Source organism: Homo sapiens, chromosome 15 (assembly GCF_000001405.40).
Source record: "Homo sapiens chromosome 15, GRCh38.p14 Primary Assembly".
Taxonomy (NCBI): domain Eukaryota; kingdom Metazoa; phylum Chordata; class Mammalia; order Primates; family Hominidae; genus Homo; species Homo sapiens.
In genome coordinates this window covers 76,931,130-76,954,642 of record NC_000015.10, presented here as the reverse complement: position 1 = coordinate 76,954,642, position 23,513 = coordinate 76,931,130, and the positions used below count along the sequence as shown (strand labels likewise).

At 39.3% G+C, this 23,513-nt stretch overlaps 1 protein-coding gene across 2 annotated transcripts, besides 1 other annotated feature; it reads right to left on the bottom strand.

The window, feature by feature from the left end:
• Positions 1 to 249: 249 nt before the first annotated feature.
• RCN2 (reticulocalbin 2) lies at positions 250 to 22,894 on the bottom strand. Of its 2 annotated transcripts, NM_001271837.2 has the most exons (8): positions 22,658 to 22,894; positions 22,177 to 22,282; positions 18,921 to 19,117; positions 12,953 to 13,006; positions 10,772 to 10,885; positions 7,126 to 7,222; positions 6,091 to 6,233; positions 250 to 5,573 (listed from the first exon to the last, which is right to left on the bottom strand). In NM_001271837.2, the coding sequence occupies exons 1-8, from the start codon at positions 22,799 to 22,801 to the stop codon at positions 5,421 to 5,423; spliced, it is 1,008 nt and encodes a 335-aa protein (NP_001258766.1). In that variant the 5' UTR covers positions 22,802 to 22,894; the 3' UTR covers positions 250 to 5,420. The 2 variants fall into 2 exon arrangements, with proteins under 2 accessions (NP_001258766.1, NP_002893.1); NM_002902.3 differs by lacking the exon at positions 12,953 to 13,006.
• Positions 22,452 to 23,201: a silencer, noted in NCBI's record as "silent region_6693". NCBI's record gives its function as "represses an Ori minimal core promoter by ATAC-STARR-seq in GM12878 lymphoblastoid cells {active_cell/tissue: GM12878}" and the evidence as "EXISTENCE:reporter gene assay evidence [ECO:0000049][PMID:35858748]".

Genomic DNA, 23,513 nt, shown 5'->3' with positions numbered 1-23,513 from the left:
CCCATAATCACTTTAAAATAGTTTTATAAGCTCAAATGGTTTCCTTTCTACAGCTCAGGAACTAACTGGTTAATTTGAGATAAAGATAGGGCAAACTGTAGGTATTCAGCAGTACTTGTTTTTTTTGTGCTTGGATTGAGGTGTTTCCCCCCCCCCCCGCCAAATAAAATAGAGACGTTTTAGTAGCTGCACTGGAGGCCCTTAGGTAATTGGTTACTAGTTATAAAAAATTTTATAGCAGGCAGGAAATCTGGCCAAATATTTATTCGACAGAACTCAAATGTTGCAATGAAGCAAATTAGTTTTTACAGTTGTTTAAAAACTTTTACTCTAAGTGGCTTTCCTAAATCATCTTCCTAAGTGAAAAAGTGTAAGTTTGAGTTGACATTTCTCACTCAAAAGGAGGTATTGTAACACAAAAACGTTTGAGAAACAATAGCATACATTTATCCTCACATTTAAATTGCAAAGGAATGATATTCTGGAACAGGCAAAACTGTAGAGACAGACCATTAGGGAAATGCAAATCAAAGCCACAACGAGATACCACGTCTCACCCAACAGGATGGCTACTATTAAAAAAAAAAAAGAAAAAAAAAAAAACAGAAAATAGCAAGTGTTGGTAAGGATGTAAAGAAACTGGAACTCTTGTGCACTATTGGTGGAAATGCAAAATGGCACAGCTGCTGTGGGAAACACTATGGCAGTTCCTCAAAATATTAAAAATAGAATTACTAGTCGGGCGCGGTGGCTCACGCCTGTAATCCCAGCACTTTGGGAGGCCAAGGCGGGCGGATCACGAGGTCAGCAGATCAAGACCATCCTGGCTAACACGGTGAAACCCCGTCTCTACTAAAAATACAAAAAATTAGCCGGGTGCGGTGGCAGGCGCCTATAGTCCCAGCTACTCGGGAGGCTGAGGCAGGAGAATGGTGTGAACCCGGGAGGCGGAGCCTGCAGTGAGCCGAGATCGCGCCACTGCACTCCAGCCTGGGCGACAGAGCGAGACTCCGTCTCAAAAAAAAAAAAAAAAAAAAAAAAAAAAAAAATATATATATATATATATATATATATATATATATATATAGAATTACTATATGATCCAGCAATCCCACTTCTATGTATAATATATATCCAAAAGAACTAAAAGCAGGATCTCAAAGAAATATTTGTACACCCATATTCATGGCAGCATTATTCACAATAAAAGGTGGAAGCAACCTGTGTCCATCAAAGGGTGAATGGATAAGCAAAATGTGGTATATGCAAACAATAAAGTATTGTTCAGCCTGACGAAAGAAATTCTGGTAACAATATGGGTGAACTTTGGGGACGTTATGCTAAGTGAAGCCACTCACAAAAAGACAAATACTATATGAGTCTATTTTAATAGACACAAACTAGAATGGGGCTGGGCGCGGTGGCTCATGCCCGTAATCTCAGCACTTTGGGAGGCCGAGGCAGGTGGATCACCTGAGGTCAAGAGTTCGAGACCAGCCATGCCAACATGGCGAAACCCCGTCTCTACTAAAAGTACAAAAATTAGCCGGGCGTGGTAGCGGGCATCTATAATCCCAGCTACTTGGGAGGCTGAGGCAGGAGAATCGCTTGAACCTGGGAGGTGGAGGTTGCAGTGAGCCGAGATCGCACCACTGCACTCCAGCCTGGATGACAAGAGTGAGACTCCGTCTCAAAAAAGAAAGAAAAAGAAAACTAGAATGGGAGGCTGGGCACGGTGGCTCACGCCTGTAATTCCAGCACTTTGGGAGGCTGAGGCAGGTGGATCACCTGAGATCAGGAGTTCGAGACCAGCTTGACCAACATGGTGAAACCCCATTTCTACTAAATACAAAAAATTAGGGGGCATGGTGGTGCCCGCCTGTAATCCCACCTAGTCGGGAGGCTGAGGCAGGAGAATCGCTTGACCCCAAGAGACAGAGGTTGCAGTGAGCCGAAATCATGCCATTGCACTCCAGCCTGGGCAACAAGAGCAAGACTCCATCTCAAACAAAAAAACTAGAATGGTGTTTGCCAGGTGCTGAAGGGAAGGGGAAAGGGGGCTTTATTGTTTAATGGGTATAAATTTCCGTTTTACAAATGAAGTTCATGGAGATGGAAGGTGGTAATAGTTTCACATTTTGACTGTATTTAATACCATACCACCGAACTGTACAATTAAAAACTGTTAAGATGAATTTTGTTATGTGTATTTTACTACAATCTAAAAAATTATGAACAGTAAAAAGATCAGTATTGCTTGGGGTTACAGGGAAGGGAGGGATGAATAGGTGGAGCAGAAAGACTTTAGGGCAAGGGAAATATTCTACCACACTACAATGGTGGGAATATGTAATTATACATTTGTCCAAACCCAGAGCATGTGCAGCACCAAGAGTGAACCCTAATGTAAACTATGCACTTTGGGTGACAATGATATGTTAACAGTTTCATCGATTTTAACAAATGTACCACTCTGGTAGGTACTATCTCATGACATATAGGATAGGATAGTGGGGGAGGCTGTACGTATGTGGGGCAGGGGACATATTGAAACTCTCTATACTACTTTTTGCTCAATTTTGCTGTGAACATAAAACTACACTAAAAAAAAAAAAAGCCTATTTTTAAAACTGCAAAGGAAAGAACTAAGTAAGGCAAACATGATATGCTAGCTTTTCCTCTGAACGTCCTGGCTTCCTTTAAATTTATATCATAATCTAGACATCATTTTCTGTCCTGCAAATTGGCCCAATCAGAACTACATATGAGCCAACATGTGCACATCCCATTCAATTTTCCCCTTTGAAGTTGTACCTGAACTCAAATAATGGAAGTCATTAAGTCCTTCAGGCAGAATCAGCCAATGATTCAGAAAGTCTCAAACTATTTTTACTCTCATGCTCAAGGATAAATTCAAATTATCCTAATTATATTAAAACCAAAATAAAAGCTTTATTTTAAAAGTCTTATTTAAAATTCAAATCTAAAAAAAGCCTTAAAATTTTCTATTTTGACTCAGCAGTAGATATAGCATCTCTGTTCAAGCAGATGATTCTTTTTCTCTGCATGCTTATTAAAAGCCTATTGTTAAATGTGAAATCTTCACTCAGTCACAGCAGGATGGGCTCTGCTGTGGTTAAAAACAAAAAAGCACAACCAAATCTCAGTGGCTTAACATAATTAAAAGCTTATTTTTTGATCATACAAAGCCCACTGTGGATCCAGCTGACCTACACAGACTCAAGATCAAAGCCACTTTCATCTTGTGGCTGCACCATTTCAGCTGAGGCCTCCTGCACAGTGCTGTGGCAGAGGAAAAGGGTTTGTCATGAGATAGTCTGATAGTGACACACACTACTTCCACCCATGTTTAACTGGTCAGAACTAGCCATCGCCTACCTACAAGAGGGCTGGGAAGTGTAGTTTTCTTTATGCTAGGAAGGAAAGTAGTACAGACATTGCATTTCTGCAAAGGATTGAAATATAATCCATATCTGATGATCTATTCTGGCATAGATTTTGGAGAAGCTAGAGAGAAAAACAAATAGTTAACTAGTCAAACTGGTGATTTCAAATATGCCAGCTTCAGTGAGTCTGACAAATGACAGATGAGTGATAGTGGTAAATCTGTAATTCTAAAACTGCTATAGCCAGACATATAGTGTAGGTTAAAATGAAAACCATGTAGATACCCAAGCAAGCAGTCATTAAGGTGTGGAAGCTTACAATTTGCAAGCACACCTCACATCAGCAAAGATGCGGCAGTAGAGAGGTATATAGGTGCAGTCGATTCTATCAGAGAAGAGTTTCATGTCTTCTCAAATAGTCATAGGTACTTGTTGAGCCCCCAGTGTGCTGTATATGAGACAACTTTAGGCTGGAAAGTGATTAAGAGAATGCATAGCTGACCTCTTCACCCACAAATAAAAGTGATTTAAAGAATGAAAAACTAGAGGCCGTGCGCGTTGGCTCACGCCTGTAATTCCAGCACCTTGGGAGGCCGAGGTGGGCTGATCATGAGGTCAGGAGATCGAAACCATCCTGGCTAACACGGTGAAACCCGGTCTCTACTAAAAATACAAAAAAATTAGCCGGGTGTGGTGGCAGGCGCCTGTAGTCCCAGCTACTCGGGAGGCTGAGGCAGGAGAATGGCGTGAACCCAGGAGGCAGAGCTTGCAGTGAGCCGAGATAGTGCCCCTGCACTCCAGCCTGGGCCACAGAGCAAGACTCTGTCACAAAAAAAAAAAAAAAAAAAAGAATGAAAAACAATCTCTGTACATCAGAACTAGAAAAAAATTAATTCCTCCCTTCACTTTTCCCTATCCCACCTCCACCAAAGTTAAATAAGTTGACCTGCTGAATTAGGTTAAAATTGATTATCATGCTTATCAAGTATGATTTTAATTTCAGTAAAATTGATACTGAGCTCTACTGTTGATAACTGACCAGCTCTATTGGTAATTCCAACCTGCGTTACTCAAGATTATTTATAGCCCCAAAGAGCAAAACCACATTTGCTACAACACCAATTATTAAAATGTGTCAGGTGCACATTCAATTATATTATAACATGATTCTCTTATTTAAAAAAAAAATAAGAAAATGCAGCAAGAATAATTTGACAGTTTTGGGAACTATCCACATAAAGGAATGGATGAGGCAAGATAATGTACAATACCACAAAACCTATGCTAAATTCAATATTTATCTGAAAGTTAAAGAAAAGCAAACAAACATATACAAAGGACATTTCATTTTTAATCACTCAAAAATGAAAAAGGTTTGGACAATGTCAAATTCCACTCACCATAATGCTATAGTTATACATTAAATATAATTACTATCTATACATATGCAAAAATATAAAGTTCTATTTCATACAATAAAACCCTTTATAGAAACCATTTTAAAATTAAGCAGAACTTCTCAACATTAATATGTGAGGTCTAAGTCCTTCTAAAGGTTTCTTTAAAGGTTTTTAAACAAAATGCTAAACCTAAAAACATTGTCCTGTCAGTTCCCAAATTAAATCTACTTAGAACAAAAACAAAAATTTATAGCTCGGTCACATACTACTTAAATAATATTGTTCAGGCATCTCTAAAATCCTCCATGTTTTCAAGTATGGAAATAGAACTCAAATATTCCACAATACAGTACTAAACAGATGGAGTATTTAGGAAAGACTTTGTTGTCATATGGCACAATATTAATATTTTGTTGCTTCAATACATTTTGAAATAAATATCAGATTTTTGTTTTTTTTTCCTAAAAGACCAAAATTATAATCTACATTAAGATAATTCTGACTGTGGTTAAGACTTAAGAGTGTAAAATACAACATCAATATTTTATCACAAAAGTAAAGCTGGTAACAAATTATAAAAGGAGCCAGTACTCTACTGAGACAGGCTCAGAGATTAAAGCTCATCATGATAGAAATAGTCATCATGGAGCTGTCTGCCATAATCTGTGGCTTCACTGGTGAGAAACAAGTCCGGGTTTTCCAGAATCTCTTCTTCAGAGAGCTTTTTGTCACCATTCAAATCCATTTCATCAATTAGATGAAGCGCCTTCAAAATAAAACAAAAAAGTGTCAAGTGTAATAAGTATTTTCAGCAAGATGTTCACAATTTAATGTGATTTGACTTGTCAAAATCATCCAGGTGTACAAGTACTCATTATTGTTTAAGTATCTAAAAATGTTACACGTTGTAACCAGGTCCGTCTACTGCTTTTCCCATTATCTCCTTTCTTCATTTCTGCTGGGTTCTGTCTCTCTCCACTCAAATCCAATCCAGGATATATCAAGGCAATGAAAAATTATTATAACCTGTTTTGAGTCCCTGTAGGTAAATACAAACTATTATTCTATTCACTGTACTCTCAAATTAATACATGACACAATCTTAACTTCCTCGTCTCCCTGACAATCTAAACAGTTCGTAAATTCAAAACATAGTAATGCATCAATCCCAAATAACTCCATTACTTCTTTCTTTGGCTTAAGATTTTGAACTTCTTTTCCTATCAACAGCACCAAATTCGGGGGGAGGGGGTGGAGAGAAACAGTTGTTCTGTAACACTTACCTCCTCTTGTGCAATGCCCTGATTATTAGGTACTACCCAAGGTAACAGCTCTTGGGGATCAAGCCTGCCATCGTTATCTTTGTCATAATCATTCACGAATCTGTCTTTCTCAACAAGTATCCATTCTGGATCTTCATTTGCAGCTTAATATAAAAAAACACAAATATACATACACAAGAATATCACATGTATCCAATAAGAAGTTTGGTATATCCCTAGAATAAAGGAAGTGAATTTAAAGTTTACTAAAGAAAGCCCAATAAAACAGAACTACTTAACTGAAAAGTCCTGACATAAGAACAAATATATAGTCATTTTCAAAAGTGACACGAGTCTAAACAACCCAGTTTTAAAATCATTGGATGTTTTCACAAACTAGTAATTTTGTTAACTGCTATTTGTTCCGATATCTAGTTTTCCCAGATGTGAGGTGGGTAATGTTTTACTGTATATCATGTTTCTATACAAAGTTTCTTACATGTTTTCACAAAGTAATGCCATGTGTAATTTTAAAGTGACAATCAGAATAAGTAAAACTGGTGACCAATTTAAAAATGGCATTGTTTGGTGTCTTTAAGCAACAATTCTGAAAAAACAGCTGCTTATATAAAAGCAAACTCTTAATTTCAAACACTTATTCACCTTCTACTAAGCTTCTGATACTGTGTTTACACCAGTATTTGTAGTGTTTTATGTTTCTATCTCTTTTAAGATCCACCTGCAACAGCACAGGATTTTGTTTAAAAATATCTACCTTACTTCCTTCCCCATTTAAACTGATAATAAAATTAGATTTGTTTGAAAAGAAAGAAAAATGTTTGACTCTAGACACGGAAGTAAAAGTAAGCAAGACAGCGTTCTCAGATAAGCTATAAATCCATTTGTTGAACTTGTATTACAGTTAACGAAACAAGTAGGATCAGACACAGATCCTCATTACATTTCCTGTTGAAGAGAGCTTTCAATGAGCAAGGCTGTCTTTCAATGTCTTTCTTCAATTCCTTTTCTCTTTTCACATTCTCCCAGGTGACTTACTTGGATCCCACCTGTAATCACCAAGAAATTCTTCCAAACTAACAAATCCATCACCATTTTTGTCATGTTCTTCTAAAGCTTCTTGAATGACAAATTCCTATTCCACGTTCATTAAAAAAGAAAAAAAAAAGTTACAAAATGTTCAGTCCCACTGCCATCCGATTCAATTCTACTACAGAACTTCTTTAGAAATAAATGATAATTTTTGGAGCTCTAGTGGTGCAATCAGCTAGTAAGGTACTTATACAGGAAAAATCACTTTGGTTGTCCATATCTTCAAGACAATCCTTCTAAACACTGGAATTTAGAAGCAAGAATAAAACCTGAAGTACTATGTAGCTTTAAATTCAACATCCTTAAGCTTCTGATATTGTGAAGAACTCCACTTTCACTCTCATAAACAACCTCAGCGTTACTCTCATGCTATTTTCCGCACATCTCTCCCTCTCAAGAAAAGCATCTTATACTACCTTTGTCTTTAACTTCATTTGCCCTCCAATCCATGAACAACCCTAAAAGAGCCCTTACCTTAGAACTGCTGTTCTGCCTCCAGATCTAAAATGTACCAGCCCGCCATTATACCTCAATCTCCTTGCTTCCCCTTCAGCAAACCTAGCCCTATCCATCCCAAACTGCCCCCAAATCTGTTCCTCCCTCTTATCAAAGCTTCTTATCAAACAACCAATCCTTTTCCCTAAAGATGACCTGTTCAATGGCCAGCTGTTTCAGTACTTTCCTCAATATCTTCCTATCTCCTTTTTTTTTTCAGATGGGGTCTTGCTCTGTAGCCCAGGCTAGAGTACAATGGTATGATCTCAGCACACTACAACCTCTGCTTCCCGGGTTCAAGCAAATCTCCTGCCTCAGCCTCCAAAGCAGCTGGGACTACAGGCGTATGCCACCACACCCAGCTAACTTTTATATTTTTAGTAGAGACAGTGTTTTGCCATGTTGGCAAGGCTGATCTCAAACTCCTAACCTCGGATGATCTGCCAGCCTCAGCCTCCCAAAGTGCTGGGATTACAGGCGTAAGCCACTCCGCCTAGCCCTCCCCCTTCTTTTTTTTTTTAACATAGGATCTCATTCTGTCACCCAGGCTAGAGAGCAGTGGCACAATAATAGTGGCATCATAGGCTCCAACTACTGGACTCAAGTGATCCTCTCACCTCAGTCTCCCAAGTAGCTAGGACCACAGGTGCATGCCACCACACCTGGCTAACTTTTTTGTAGAGACAAGGTCTGCTATGTTGTCCAGGCTGGTCTTGAACTCCTAGCCTCAAGCTGTCCTCCTGCCTTGGCCTCCCAAAGTGCTGGGATTACAGGTGTGAGCCACCATGCCTGGCCCATCTCTGACTCTTGCCTTCCCTTAACACTTATTTAGTAAGTCAACATTCCTGCATATGCTTTCTTCAAAATGTTGCTCAAATCTATTTCATTCAATTGCCAGATAGAACTCTGGGCCGTATCACATTATGCCTAAATTATTTCATTGCTTTTACTGGTAATTCCCCTCTTTAGTCTTCAATTGTTCCTTATTCTCCAGAGAATCAAGATCTAGCATCCTTTGCCTGTCATTCTTGGGCTCAATTAGCTTTTCCCAACTTAATTTTGGTACTTAAATTACACCCAGCACTGTTCTTAAACTGGGTCATGTATTCTGTGCCAATGAGAAATTAGAAGCTTCACAATGGCAAGAGAAGTGGTATTAATGACAGTGTCTTACCACTGAGCTATGGAGAAAAATGTATCTGCAGCCTTGTTATGCAAGGCAGCAGGGTCTACCATGACACATTAAACAAAAAGATATATCTTCCTTCTTTGAAATATCCAGGGAACCAAGCCACGTAGCTGGAGGCTGATGTCATGCAACAGACTTCAATATAAATGTTTAGTCTCTTTTTTAAAAAGCTATTTGTTACATTAGTCTTTATTTCCCAGTGTGATGGTTTATGCTTTCAAGCTTGGCCAAGTCATAATAGGGACTCAATTTATGTTTGTTGAGTTAAACTTACAATTCAACAAAAGTTTTGAAAAACTGGTACTTATTTTAAATATTAAAGGGATGAGAGGACTCATTATACTTAAAATTGCAAAAACATTACTAGTTAACTAGCAGCTGCACCCCTACCAACCCTATGAAGAATCCAAACATGATGTTTTTCCAGACCAAAAGCTTTCATAAGTGATGTTGTAAATTAAACAGAAATCCTAATATTACTAACATTGAAAAACCAAAAAAAATCTGAAAGCTACAAAAGGATAAGGAAGGCACTGAAGGTAACACAGTTATGAGAGAAAATAGCCTGAGGAAGCCTGCTGTTCATACATAGTACAGAGATTTAAAAATTCAGTCTTTCACCTTCTCCCTCCCAATAAGCAACTTCGTCACCACAAGAAAGCCTCCTTACCAAGCCTAATTTTAAGTGGGGAGAATGAGCATCATTTTAAATCTGTGTATCTCTTAAAATTCTGGTTATACAATTCATTTTAACAACTTAATGAACAGGTTTTAAAGTTTTGGTTACTTGGAAATGTAAATTCATACAACCACTATGGAGAACAGTTTGGAGGTTCCTCAAAAAACTAAAAATAGAGCTACCATATGATCCAGCAATCCCACTGCTGGGTATATACCCAAAAGAAAGGAAACCACTATGTCAAAGAAATATCTGCACTCCCATGTTTGTTGTAGCACTGTTCACAAAAGCCAAGATTTGGAAGCAACCCAAGCGTACATCAACAGATGAATGGATAAAGAAAATGTACATATACACAATGGAGTACTATTCAGTCATAAAAAAGAAAGAGATCCTGCAACAACATGTTGATCCACACAACAGCATGGATGAACTGGAGATCATATTAAGTGAAATAAGTCAGGCACAGAAAGACAAACATCCCATGTTCTCACTCATTTGTGGGATCTAAAAATCAAAACAATTGAACTCATGGACATAGACGGTAGAAGATGGTTACCAGAGACTGGGAAGTGTTGGGGGAGGGGGCGCTGAGAACAGTTAATGAGTACAAAAAAAACAGTAAGAATGAATAAGATCTATTATTTGACAGCATAACAGGGTTGACTATAGTCAGTAGTAACTAATTATACATTTTAAAATAACTAAAAGAGTGTTCACGGGATTGTTAGTAACACAAAGGATAAAAGTTCGAGGGGATGGATACCTCATTGTCTATGATCTGATTATTTCACATTGCATGCCTGTATCAAAACATCTCGGCCGGGCGCGGTGGCTCACGCTTATAATCCCAGCACTTTGGCAAGCCGAGGCGGGCGGATCACGAGGTCAGGAGATTGAGACCACGGTGAAACCCCGTCTCTACTGAAAATACAAAAAATTAGCCAGGTGTAGTGGCGGGCGCCTGTAGTTCCAGCTACTCAGAGAGGCTGAGGCAGGAGAATGGCGTGAACACGGGAGGCGGAGCTTGCAGTAAGCCGAGATCGCCCCACTGCACTCCAGCCTGGGCGACAGAGCGATACTCCGTCTCAAAAAAAAAAAAAAAAAAAAAAAAAAGTCTCATGTATCCCATAAACATATATACCTACTATGTACCCACAAAAATTTTAAATATATTTTTTTAAAGTTTTGGTCACTCAATAATTCTCTTAAAAATGTTTCTTTCTTACCGTCATATAATCAACTTCTTCAGGATGCTCAAAAGCAATAAATTCTTCAAGACTCAAACCGGGACCTGAATCCTGGTTAGCTTTTTCAAATCGCTTCTTGTCCTTTAAGTGAAGCTTTGAAAATTAAAATTTCTCATTAGTATACCACATCATTTTAAATACTTTGAAAAATACAAACTATGTGAAATTTAAAGTACATTCCCATCCGTTATCTCATTTATCTTCACATCGTCCCTTTGAAGGTAAGCTACACAAATACATGTATTAGGGGCAGGATAGACTCACAAGCTCTAGAGTCATATAGACCCAGACCTGAATTCCAGCAATGCCACTTACTAGCTGTGGTGTCAGCGCAAACTGCTTAACCTCTCTGGTTTCCTCATCTATCAAACTGGGATAAAAATCTCTAATAAGCAATTGGGATGAGAATCCCTACCACACCATTAATAAACCTTAAGTATTTAGTGTTATATACTATTATTGATAGAAAAGCAGATTGAATGATTTGATAAAAGTCAGAAATACAGCTAAAAAATACTGAGCATGGCATAGTGGCGCACGCCTGTAGTTCCAGCAACTTGGGAAGACTGCATGAGCCCAGAAGTTCAAGGCCAGCCTTCACACCATAGCAAGACCCTGACTCAAAAAACAAACAAAACTACTGAACTTGGATCCTCCCTATTCTTTCTACAGTACTATACTGTCTACTTTAATAATTAATCTCAATACTTTTTTGAATGCCCAAAAATCAATAACTTTATACCATGTATTAAATCTTGGTAGGGCTTTTAAAAAATGTTTCTGGTCCTCTAAGTGACTTTTCAAAAATACATTATTGTTTCAGAAAAACAGTCTTCTTATGTTGAGAATCTCATAATATTAGTATATGTACCTAATATTTGGAAATCTTTTCTTTTTTGGGGGGTGGGGAGATGAGGTCTCACTCCGTCATCCAGGTTGGAGTACAGTGGTGCAATCTCGGCTTACTGAAACCTCCACCGCCCAGGTTCAAGTGATCCTCCCACCCCAGCCTCCCAAGTAGTGGGGACCACAGGCATGTGCCACCACACCCAGCTAATTTTTTGTATTTTTGATAGAGATGGGGTTTCACTATGTTGCCCAGGCTGGTCTCAAACTCCTGAGCTCAGGCTATCCACCTGCCTCAGCCTCCCAAAATGCTGGGACTACAGGCATGAGTCACCGTGCTCAGCCTGGAAGTCTAGTCTTAGCAGGCTCTTTATAGTGTTAATTCTGTATATTCAGATATAAATAACATCAAAAGTTTAAATGGATCCCATGTTAAGGTTTAATAAACACATATCCTTTTCTACTTTCTCTCCCATCTTCCCATCCACCCCCCTTTTTAAAAATGATTCGGCAGCTATCAGGGACAAGGCTGCTTTTGATAAAATTTTCAATGGTAATTCTGTAACCAAGAGCCTTGGGAGCCAATAATGCTATACTGCTAATCCTGCATAATTTCTGTTTTGAGAATTTCTGGGAATAGCTTTCCTTCCTATAAACTGATATGTATTAAACTGTGCATTTTTTTAAAGCACAATTTCAAATATTTTAGAAGCTTTTAAGTGTTTCACTACTGAATAAAAATACCCTCTTCAGTCTTCTAGAATAATAGAGGTCAGGTAGCAGTCATTTACCTAAACACTAGTTCTTTTACAATTACTGATTTACAGCGGAGAGGCTCACCTCTTTCCCCAAAGAATTTGTTTTATTAACATCAGACTCTACAAGCCAGTTATATTCACCCAATCATGACAGAAAAGAAAAAATAATAACTTGTTTCCAAATAGCTTTTAACTTAATGTTTCAAAATTTTAAATAACTAGACCAAATAATTTGCATTTTATGTTCAGGTTTAACATGGTAAAAGCAGACAAACAAGAATTTGAGGTACTTTGCTGAGTCAATCAAGTTCTTTTTGAATAAACCATTATTCAAAATACCAAGTGCTTTGATTTCCTTATGAAAGAACCCTTCACTTTGGAGCAAAAAGGTCCATGTTTCAGGAGAAGAGCTAAATTTGGCCAAATTTGCCTATGGAAAGAAAGGATCTCTTTCAACAAGCTGAGATTTCTTTAAAAAAAAAAAAAGTGAAGGGGGTAGCTTTTTCTGGTTCACATTTCACGGCCATTTGAAGAACACAAAATAAGAATAGCTCACATTAAATCGAAGAAGCCAAAAACAGAAAGACTGTTTTTTACAAATGGCAAATTCCTAAAAAAATAACAAAAAAGATGGTCAGTTTCATAAAACTTCAACACTCTTTTTTTTTCTTGTATATAAAAACTTTGTATTCTAGTAGAGGGTAAAAAGTGTTAGGTACAGTAATAAAAAAGCTACCATAATCATTTATTTTTAGATTACAACAGAAACTTGTGAGGAACAAAACTGCCATCTTTTGGTAGACTAATGATTCTACATGAGGAAATATATAATGTGTGATACTAGAACAAATGACTAGGCATTAAAAATTCTGATTAGCCACATGCAAGGTTATATCTTACATAAATAAATACTGCTTATACATGCACATTCAGCAGTCACGCCTGTAATCCCAGCACTTTGGGAGGCCGAGGTGGGCAGATCACCTGAGGTCAGGAGTTCGTGACCAGCCTGGCCAACATGGTGAAACCCCATCTCTACTAAAAAATTAGCTGGGCATAGTGGCACACGCCTGTAGTCCCAGCTACTTGGGAGGCTGAGGCAGGACGATTGCTTGAACCTGGGAGGAAGAGGTTGCAGTGAGCCAAGATTGCCCCACTGCACTCCAGCGTGGGTGACAGAGCAAGACTCCGTCTCAAAACAAAAACAAAAACAAAAACAAAGAACACTTGAACTTTTGCCAGATAGATCCCCAAACTTTAATTATCCTGTGTTGACCATAACTGTTCTTTATATTATAAAGAAATGCTTCTTCAGGCATTTCACAGCCTGAAAGGGTTATCTTTATTCCCTATATGAAAACTTATTAAATATAAGATAAAATTCAGACTGGGCATGGTGGTTCACGCATGTAATCTCAGCACTTTGGGAGGCCAAGGCAGGTGGATCACTTGAGGTCAGGAGTTTGAGACCAGCCTGACCAACGTGGTGAAACTCAGTCTCTACTAAAAAAAACAAAAACAAAAACAAAAATCAGCCAGGTATGGTGGCACGTGCCTATAGTCCCAGCTACTCAGGAGGCTGAGGCAGGAGAATTGCTTGAATCTGGGAGGCTAAGACTGCAGTGAGCCGAGATTGCACCACTGCACTCCAGCCTGGGTGACAGAGCGACACTCCCTCTCAAAAAAAAAAAAAAAAAAAAGGTGAAGTTCAGATATTAAGCTGACTTTCGTCAGTTATAACAGACTTTCTTATAGAAAACTTTATTTTATTCACATATCCAATTACTTTTTATGATTATTTTATTTATGGTATAGTGTTTAGTCTATAACTTTGAGATTGATTCATTCCTCATCCGTTATTTTTTATTTAGAAAAATAATGCATATGGTTTCTGGGTTCATCTTTACACTCCACATCAATTTTTAGGACGTTATTTTTTTTTTTTAAAGGGACAAGGTTTCACTATGTTGTCCAGACTGGCCTCAAATTCCTGGGCTCAAGCAATCCTCCTACTTCAGCCTCCTGAGCAGCTGGGACTACACATACACACAGGAAGTTACTTATAGCAAATTCTAAAAACATATGATTAGAACTTCATGAAGATAGAGACATATTCCTAGGCTGTCAAAAAAAAAAATAACCAAAAGGACTCCCATTGAAGTGTTCATTTTCGGGATCAATCTATTCCTTTAGGCTGTTAAGATTCATCTAATTCATCCTTTAAAAGCAGAGTGTTATAATCAACACATTCTAAGTAGCTGGTGGAGAACACAGAATTAGAACCAGACACCTTTTAAAAGAACTGTTCATAAACAATTTATGAGTCATGTATCTCTTCAAAGTGAAGATTTTCTTCTCAGCACCATCTATTACATCACCCCCTTCTAAGAATACAGGAACATGCACTTCTTATTTTTTAATGGGATAGTAATTAAGTCTTTTGAGTAACAAAAAATAAAAATAGAAAACATAATTAGAATCTAATTCCAGCAAGATTTTAAAATACTGTATTTAACTTCTCTGTTGTTCCTAGGAAGGGAAACCACACCACACCATGCTTTGGTTTTAGATAAGTTACATTGGTTTAAGATAAGTTAATTCCTATAGTAAATGGGGATACTTAATAGACAGATGATCCCAAATCTCATTATCACTACTTGTTTTTCCTTTAGTATTTACAAGCAGTAAAAAGACTGATTTTTACTCACTTTAGTCCACTGTAGAATGAAGACCCAAATAAAAAGAAAACAAAAGATACATTTTCCCCTTAAAAAATAAAATCCTAACTAATCTAAAGCTGATAGTTAACAAATGCATAAAGTTTTAAAAAGTTGATTAAATATAAATTTATGTGAACTGTAAATGCTTTCTTCAATATTCTTTTAAATCAAAACAGAACTGCTTGCCCCTCCAACTGCTACCATTTATTAATATTTATCCACACTATTATAATCCTAAAGAGGAAATTTTTATTTATTTATTTATTTATTTATTTATTTATTTATTTATTTATTTTTAGAAATGAGGTCTCTCTGTTGCCCAGGCTGCAGTGTAGTGGCATAAATATGGCTCACCGCAGCCTTGACTGCCTGGGCTCGAGCAATCTTCCTGCCTCAGCCTCCCAAATAGCTGGGATCACAGGACGGACCATCATGCCCATCTAATTTTTAAATTTTGTTTGGGCATTTGTTAACTAGACAGCTTTAGATTAGTTAGGATTTAATTTTTAAGAGGAAAATGTATCCATAGGGACGGGGTCTTGCCACATTGCCCAGTTGTTCTCGAACTCTGGGCTCAAGTGATTCTCCCACCTTGGCTTCCCAAAGTGCTGAGATTACAGGTGTGAGCCACCACACCTGGCCTGAATGGGAATTATTATCCTCATTTTTGGAGATGAGGAAACTGAGGCACATGAAAGTTTAATAACTTGCCCAAAGTTACACAACCGTGAAGTGCTGGAGCTAAATGTGAAGCTAAGCAGACTGGCTCTGAGGATGGAGCCCCAAACCTCCACATTGATGCTGTAGTTATTAGCAGAGAATTAACCAACTTAGAGTTAGTGGTGGCTTACAGAGTTCAAGCGGCCAATATGATTCTAAATAAATAGCACACTTAGAAAGCATTTACCAAGGAGGGAATGGGGTGTTGTTTAACAGGTACAGAGTTTCAGCTTTCCAAGATGAAAAGAGTTCTGGGGATTAGCTGCACAACACTGTGAATGTACTTAACACTACTGAATGGTACACTTTAAAATGGTTACAATAGTAAATTTGTTATGCACTCCTCCCTCCATATTTGTGAGAAATTGGTTCCAGAACCTCCCACAGATACCAAAACCCAAGGATACTCAATTCCCTGATATAAAGTGGCATAGCATTTGCATATAACCTACACATATCTTCCCAAATATTTTAAATCATTTCTAGATTACTTATAAGACAAATTACAATTTAAATGAGGAGTAAATCATTGTTACACTATATTGTTTAATACAATAAATTATGGCCACAACAAAAATTAAAAGGTATATACCAAAACAGGATAAGTTAAGAAACAGAAGAGCCTTGAATATTTTCCAAGCACCCTTGACTAATATTTTGGGACAGTTTGCAACAGCATGTTTGATTTTATTTTTATGTTTTTCTACACATAAAAACTATCTTAAAAAAATTCTTGGTGATCCTCTAATTACCCTGATTTGATCATTATAATATACGTTTGTGTGATATCAAAATATCACATGTACTCTGTAAGTATGTATAATACAACTATCATGTACCTATAAAAAAGATTTTAATTCTTTAAAATTAGCTTTGAAATACAAAAGTATTTGATATATCAATTTCTCAAGCTCACAGTCATTTCTGTTGATATACTTTTAGTTTAATAGACTTCCTAGAAGTGTTAAAAAGTTCCTAATTCCTAAATAAAATTAGTCTTTCTCAGCTCTGCTTAAGAAGCATATATTTCAACAAATTAAACCATGAGACACATTAGAACTCACACAGATACTAAATTTTCAAAAAATGAGTAATTTGGGGCCAGGTGTCGTGGCTTACACCTGTAATCCTAGCACTTTGGGAGGCTGAGGTGGGTAGATCACTTGACCTCAGGAGTTTGAGACTAGCCTGGGCAAGATGGTAAAACCCCATCTCTACAAAAAATACAAAAATTAGATGGGCGTGGTGGCTTGAGCCTGAAATCCCAGCTACTTCGGGGGCTGTGCTGGGAGGACTGCTTGAGCCCAGGAGGCAGTGAGCCGAGATTATACCACTGCACTTCAGCCTGGGCAACAGAGTGAGATACTGTCTCAAAAAATAAAAATAAAAAAAAAAAAGGAGTAATTTTAAAGGGTGTACTCACTATGAAAAATGGTACTGTGGTTTCTCAAAAAATTAAAAATAGAATTACCGTATGATCTAGCAGTATCACTTCCAGGTATATACCCAAACCAATGGAAAGCAGGATCCCACAGAGATTTGCAAATCCCAAATCCAAGATGCTTCAATGAGCATTTCTTTTGAGTGTCGTGTCAGTGCTCCAAAAGTTTCATATTTAAGAGCATTTTGATTTTGGAATTAGGGATACTCAACCTGTACATACAACAGAATATTACTTTGCCTTAAAAAGGAAGGAAATTCTGATGCATGCTACAAAATGGAAGAATCTTGAGGATTCTAAGTAAAAATAAGCCAGTTACAAAGACAAATACGGCGTATGATTCTACTTAGATGAGGTACCTAGAGTAGCCAAATTCAGAGACAGAAAGTAGAACAGTGGTTGCCAGGAGCTAGTGGGAGGAGGGAATGGGGAGTTATTGTTTAATGGGTAGAGAGTCTCCACTCTGTAAGATGAAAAGAGTCGGGGAGATTGGTTGCACAACACCATGAATGTACTTAATATTACTCAACTGTACACTTTAAAATGGTTACAATGGTCAATTTGTTACACAGTCCTCCCTCACACATTCCTGGGAAATTGGTTCCAAGACCTCCCTATCAAAATCTGAGAATGCTTAAGTCCCTGATATAAAATGGTGCAGTATTTGCACATAGCCTACACACATCTTCCTGAATACTTTAAATCACGGACCCTCAATCCCTAGGTCGCGGACGGGTATTGGTTCATGGCCTGTTAGGAACTGGGCCACATAGCAAGAGGTGAGTGGCAGGCATTACCGTCTGAGCTCTGCTCTGCCTCCTATCAGATCAGGGGTGGCATTAGATTTTCATAGGAGTGCAAACCCTACTGTGAACTGTACATGTGAGGGATCTTCGTTGCGCACTCCTTAGGAGAACCTAATGCCTGCTGATCTGAGGTGGAACAATTTCATCCTAAAACCATTCCCCACCCCCCCGCCACACACTGTCCCGTGGAAAAATTGTCTTCCATGAAACTGGTCCCTGGTGCCAAAAAGGTTGGGGACCTCTGCTTTAAATCATCTCTAGATTACTTATAATATAAATTACAACTTAAATGAGAAATAAATCATTGTTATACTATATTAAGGAATAATCAAGAGAAAAAAGTTCTGTATATGTTGAATAGAGACACAGTTTTTTTTTTTTTAATACTTACTTTTTTGGATACTTACGATTCTCAGTTGTTTGAATCCACAGATGTGGAAACCGCAGTTTTTTTAAGTGAGTATATAAAACTATGTGTTTAAAAATGGGAATGGGCCATAATGGCCTTCTTAATAAAGATAAAACTGATTATTCAATGATATTAAAATATTGAGATACTCATTCAAAACACATTTAAAAAGCAACTCTGGAAATGAGGACAATTAAATGATGCAGCCGAGAAAAACAGATAGAAGGATCATGTAGGTAATTTAGAATAAGAGTCCTAAATCTGGCCAGAAAGGAAACCATCAAAATGACTGCTGAAGTGGAACAGGTGATTTCCTAGAGAACAAGACAATCCAGCTTATGACCTCAGGCCCTCAATGTGCTCATTCATGCAGGAAGGTAAAGTGAACTGACATGATCAAAAGAAACAGCTTGTGCACATGAACTCACCTTCCTAAAGGACTCCTCTTCTGCATCATCCAGAGCAGTGTTCTCATCAAAGTCAATCACACGATCATACATCTGAATGTTATATTCATCCCAAGTCACAGTATCATCACTGTTTTTATCATATTCAACAAACTGTTGTTTTGCTTCTTGCATAGCATAATGCTTAAAAGACATCTGAATCCATGAACTGAGTTCACCTATGAGAATTTCCCAGAACACAACGCATGTGACGTTAATTCTGATACTTAAGAGTAAGGATTTCCAAACCTTCTCTGAAAAGGCAAAATCTTTGATGTTTGCAAATACTGAGAATTGGCCTAGTTGTATTAATAGAAATGGGGTAGGAAGTGGGAAAGGCTGTTTAGAAGAGCTCATGAAGCTTTTAATTATTTTTTTTTGAGATGGAGTCTCGCTCTTTCACCCATGCTGGAGTGTGCAGTGGTGCGATCTCAGCTCACTGCAACCTCTGCCTCCCGGTTCAAACGATTCTCCTGCCTCAGCCTCCTGAGTAGTTGGAACTACAGGCATGTGCCACCACACCCGGCTAATTTTTTGTATTTTTAGTAGAGACGGGGTTTCACCATGTTGGCCAGGCTGGTCTCTAACTCCTGACCTCGTGATCCACCTGCCTCGGCCTCCCAAACTGCTGGGATTACAGGCGTGAGCCACCATGCCTGGCCGGAGCTTCCATACTATAACATATGATCTAAATATAATGTAAGCTCCATAAAAGTTTGGGTATGTTCTGTTCACTGATGTACATCAAATGCCTGGAAAGTTCCTGGCTCTGTAAGTATTTGTTGAATGAATTACCAACTGGCCAAAATAGCACTTTACTTTTAAAAAAAATGTTATCCAAAATCTTGCAGAAAACCTTTGCTAACTACCACAGATCTCTCAGGAAGCATAAATATTTTGATAGCTATTTATTTTAGTATGTATGAGAAAAAACAGTGTTTTTTATTTATGAAGGTGACATAAAGTCTTCCTTTAAAATAAATTTTATGTGAGTTGAATTAAAACTATAGTAAGAAAATAATAGATGGTTAAGTAGATATGGCCTAAATTCTGAAAAGGTATTCAAGTGACTGAGAATACTGCTTCAGTATATTACCTTTAAATATGTTGTTAAAACATCTGGAGTAAATTTTAACGAAGTTATGGGTAGCAATTTATGCCCTTCCTGCAACAGCTATCTGTCTTAACTTGGTACCTGAAGGCATGGGAAAGTTTCTAAAATTCAAATGTTCACTTTTCAATCAACTTTTAAAAAATCTATTTGGCTGGGCTCAGTGGCTCACGCCTGTAATCCCAGCACTTTGGGAGGCTGAGGCAGGCGGATCACCTAAGGTCAGGATTTCGAGACCAGCCTGGTCTCGGGTAAAACCCCGTCTCTACTAAAAATACAAAAATTAGCCGGGCATGGTGGCCAGTGCCTGTAATCCCAGCTACTTGGGAGGCTGAGACAGAAGAATCACTTGAACCTGGGTGGCAGAGGCTGTAGTGAGCCAAGATCACACTACTGCACGCCAACATGGGTGACAAGAGCGAGACTCTGCCTCAAAAAAAAAAACAAAAAACTATTCATAAAAATATTTACTAAACTACGTTAAAGGAAACAAAGGGAGGGACGAACACGAATATTTGTGAGGACAGCATGAGTATACCATTTATCAGGTTCCTCTGTACATGTTGCCTCTAATCTTCAAAACAATGCAATTATAATCATCACTATTATACAGGTGAGGAAACTGAGGTTCAGAAAAGTCCAAGCCTTCACAACTAGTAAATAGCAGAGTCCAGATTCAAACCTGTCTGGCTTCAAAGCCAACTCCTACTGAGTTTTGCTACCTCTTAACATCTGATTCCAGACCTGGCCCTCAAAGAGCAAATTGCCAAAATTATCTTAAGGGTCCTCAAGTAGAATGAAGGCTTTCGTAAGCACCATGAATCTTTCTTCTAGTTTATTTAAAGAGATCACCATGGCATAGAAGAAAACAGAATGGAACAGGGATCAGAAATGTGGGTTCACACTTCAGCTTTGCCATCAGGGGGTAGTTTACCATCTCAAGCTTTTCTTCTCATCTGTATAATGAATATTTGGACTAAAACTTTTCTAAGTTTAAACTTCTTAAAACCTTACTATTAAATATTTGAACATATCTAGGTCTTGACAGATAGGTACCACGCAGTCTTCCAAATCAACGTGTTGTGTTCTTTGATTACTCTAGTATAACCAAAGATTGACTTATTCTTAGATTGGATAATCAGAGACCAAAGGTCTTGTTATTATTGTCTAACTAAGTGGAAGAAAAAAGCCCTTAATCTTCCAGAGGGTTCCAATGTGAATATGTCATTGACAGCACATCTTAAATTTACCAGTTTTTAATTGTCTCCAGCAACTTAATTCCTTGATGGTGAACAGCATTTAAATGAGAGTTACAGAAAAACAGCTAACTTAAGAGTCACAATAACAACCTGAATTTTTCTGAGGACCCACTTGGAACGCTGACAGGGAACATCATTTGAATTGAACAATGGGGAGAGACAACTGCACAGCAATTTATTTAGAACATTCTTTTAATAGTCTGTGCATTTCATTTCTGACTAGAGAATTTACCTGAGAGCATCAGATTTTTTTTTTTAACTGAAGGATATTAAAACCTGAATTAAGAGCAGGATACCTGGATTCTAGTCCAGCTTTGCCACTTATTTGTAGAAGGCACTTATCCCTGTGCTTCATTTCTTCATCTCTACAAAGTGATGTGGACAAGATGATCCCAAGGCCCCTACCAGCTCTAACATTTTGGTATAATGTTATAATAAACGTAATTCACAGGCAACAGGTCTTTTTCTACTTGCTTAAAAAAAGAAGCAAATTCCTAAAATTTAAATGAAGCATATATCAAAAGAGCGATAAATCATTTACTGCCTTAAAGTTTTGGGGCATATTTCTCTAAAATAAATCATATTGTTGACACTAACAAAAGTCACGTGAGAAAGAGGGTGTCTCAAGGTGTGACTTCCACATAGAGTACAGGGTCAATGATGTTTATATATAACTGGAGAAAGCACCGAGTTTTACTTGGTTCTCAGTGTCTAAAGATTTGTAAGTATAAAGCCTATTCTCCATGTCCTTTTCTCCTTCTCACAGGACTTCCAACTTGGGACACTAGCAATCTATACATTCAGCAGACACCGCTGCTTAACATATTTGTGTTTGTCTCCATTGTTAGTCGTGTAGGGCAGTCCTTACTTTCAGTGAGAAAGCCATCTGAGTCCAAGTCGATTTTCTTTATGATCGCCTGCAGTCTTTTTTGCTGCTCTTCGTGGCCGAGTTTAACATATTCATCCACATCTTCCTTTAGGGGGAAGCGACACACAGGAGGGCCAAGCATTACTATCAGTGGGGCAAAATGGTGGAGAAAAACAGGGCTACTAGAAGACCCCCTTGCCAAAGGGTTTCGGGGTGACCCGCACCTGCACTTCAAGGCCCCTACCCCCTACACACCCTCCATGATCTGAGGGGTAGAAGGGATCCAGCTCTTGGGCCGTGCTATCTCCTCAGGCTTTCCAGGCCCCAGGACCCCCAGAGAGCGAGTGCCGCGCCGCCCGGCCCCCATTGTCAGGCCGCCCCTGCCAGGCCTCGCCCGGCCGCCCCCCTTTGTCCCGGGACAAAGCCCGCGGCAGCCGCGGTGCGAGGCCCGGCCCTCCCAGCACCGGCCTGGCCGCCTCACCTGGACGCCCAGCAGCGCCTCGCGGTCGTAGTCGCTGCGGCGCTCGCCCAGCGGGTAGTGCAGCTCCTCGGCCTTGCCGGCGCCGGCCGCGGCGGCGCACAGCAGCAGCAGCCCCAACGCCGCGGTCCTCGGGCCCAGCCGCATCGCGCCGGCCCGCGGAGGACACCGAGGGACGCGAGGAGGGAGGCTGGCGGGGGCCCGGGCCGGCTGCGATGCTCCGCGGGCGGCTACAGAGAGGCGGTGCGACGTACGTTGAGGGCGGAGGGAACGGGAGGCGGAACCTGCGGTGGCGGCCACAACGCCCATGGACGGGCTGGGGGCCGGTCCACCAATGCGGTGCGGAGGCGCGCCAGGAGGAGGCCTATATGGCCGGCGCGGAGTGGCGGGGCACCAGGCCGCGCCGCTGATTGGGCAGCGCGGCGCTGGGGGCGGGCCGCCGCGATGTCGGGGTCAGCGGCCGCCCAGAGAGCTCCAGGAGCCATGCTGGGACTGCAGAGAGGGTAGACCTCTACGACCCGCGCCTTGTCGTTCCCCCGAAACGCTTCTAAAAGCACGCCCCCACCCCACTCCTGCCCACTCCTGGTCCACTCCATGTGCCCCTCCTACCGTCCATCAATGAGAGAGGCTGGAGGTTTCTGAGACAACAATACAATATCGAAAAAATTATTGCCTGAGGAATCGGCCAACAGTATTCTTTCTCAGTCTTCAATGTATCTATTTTATGAGAGTAGGACGTACAAACTCAGGAAGTGCAGCCAGATGCTTGTATCTGATGCTCAATTTCGTGATTTACAAGTTAATGTGAACTTGCTCAAATTTCTTGACCCCTGAAAACTTGTTTGCTCATCTATAAAAT

What these genes read in the sequence shown, in the direction of transcription:
- RCN2 (NM_001271837.2), bottom strand. Translation starts at nt 22,801, where the DNA reads ATGCGGCTGGGCCCGAGGACCGCGGCGTTGGGGCTGCTGCTGCTGTGC. An exon ending in AAGAGGAGTCCTTTAGGAAG is followed by an intron (nt 13,007 to 18,920) that starts GTGAGTTCATGT and finishes TTATTTTTTTAG; the next exon opens with GAATTTGCCATTTGTAAAAA. An exon ending in AGGGCATTGCACAAGAGGAG is followed by an intron (nt 5,574 to 6,090) that starts GTAAGTGTTACA and finishes TTTATTTTGAAG; the next exon opens with GCGCTTCATCTAATTGATGA.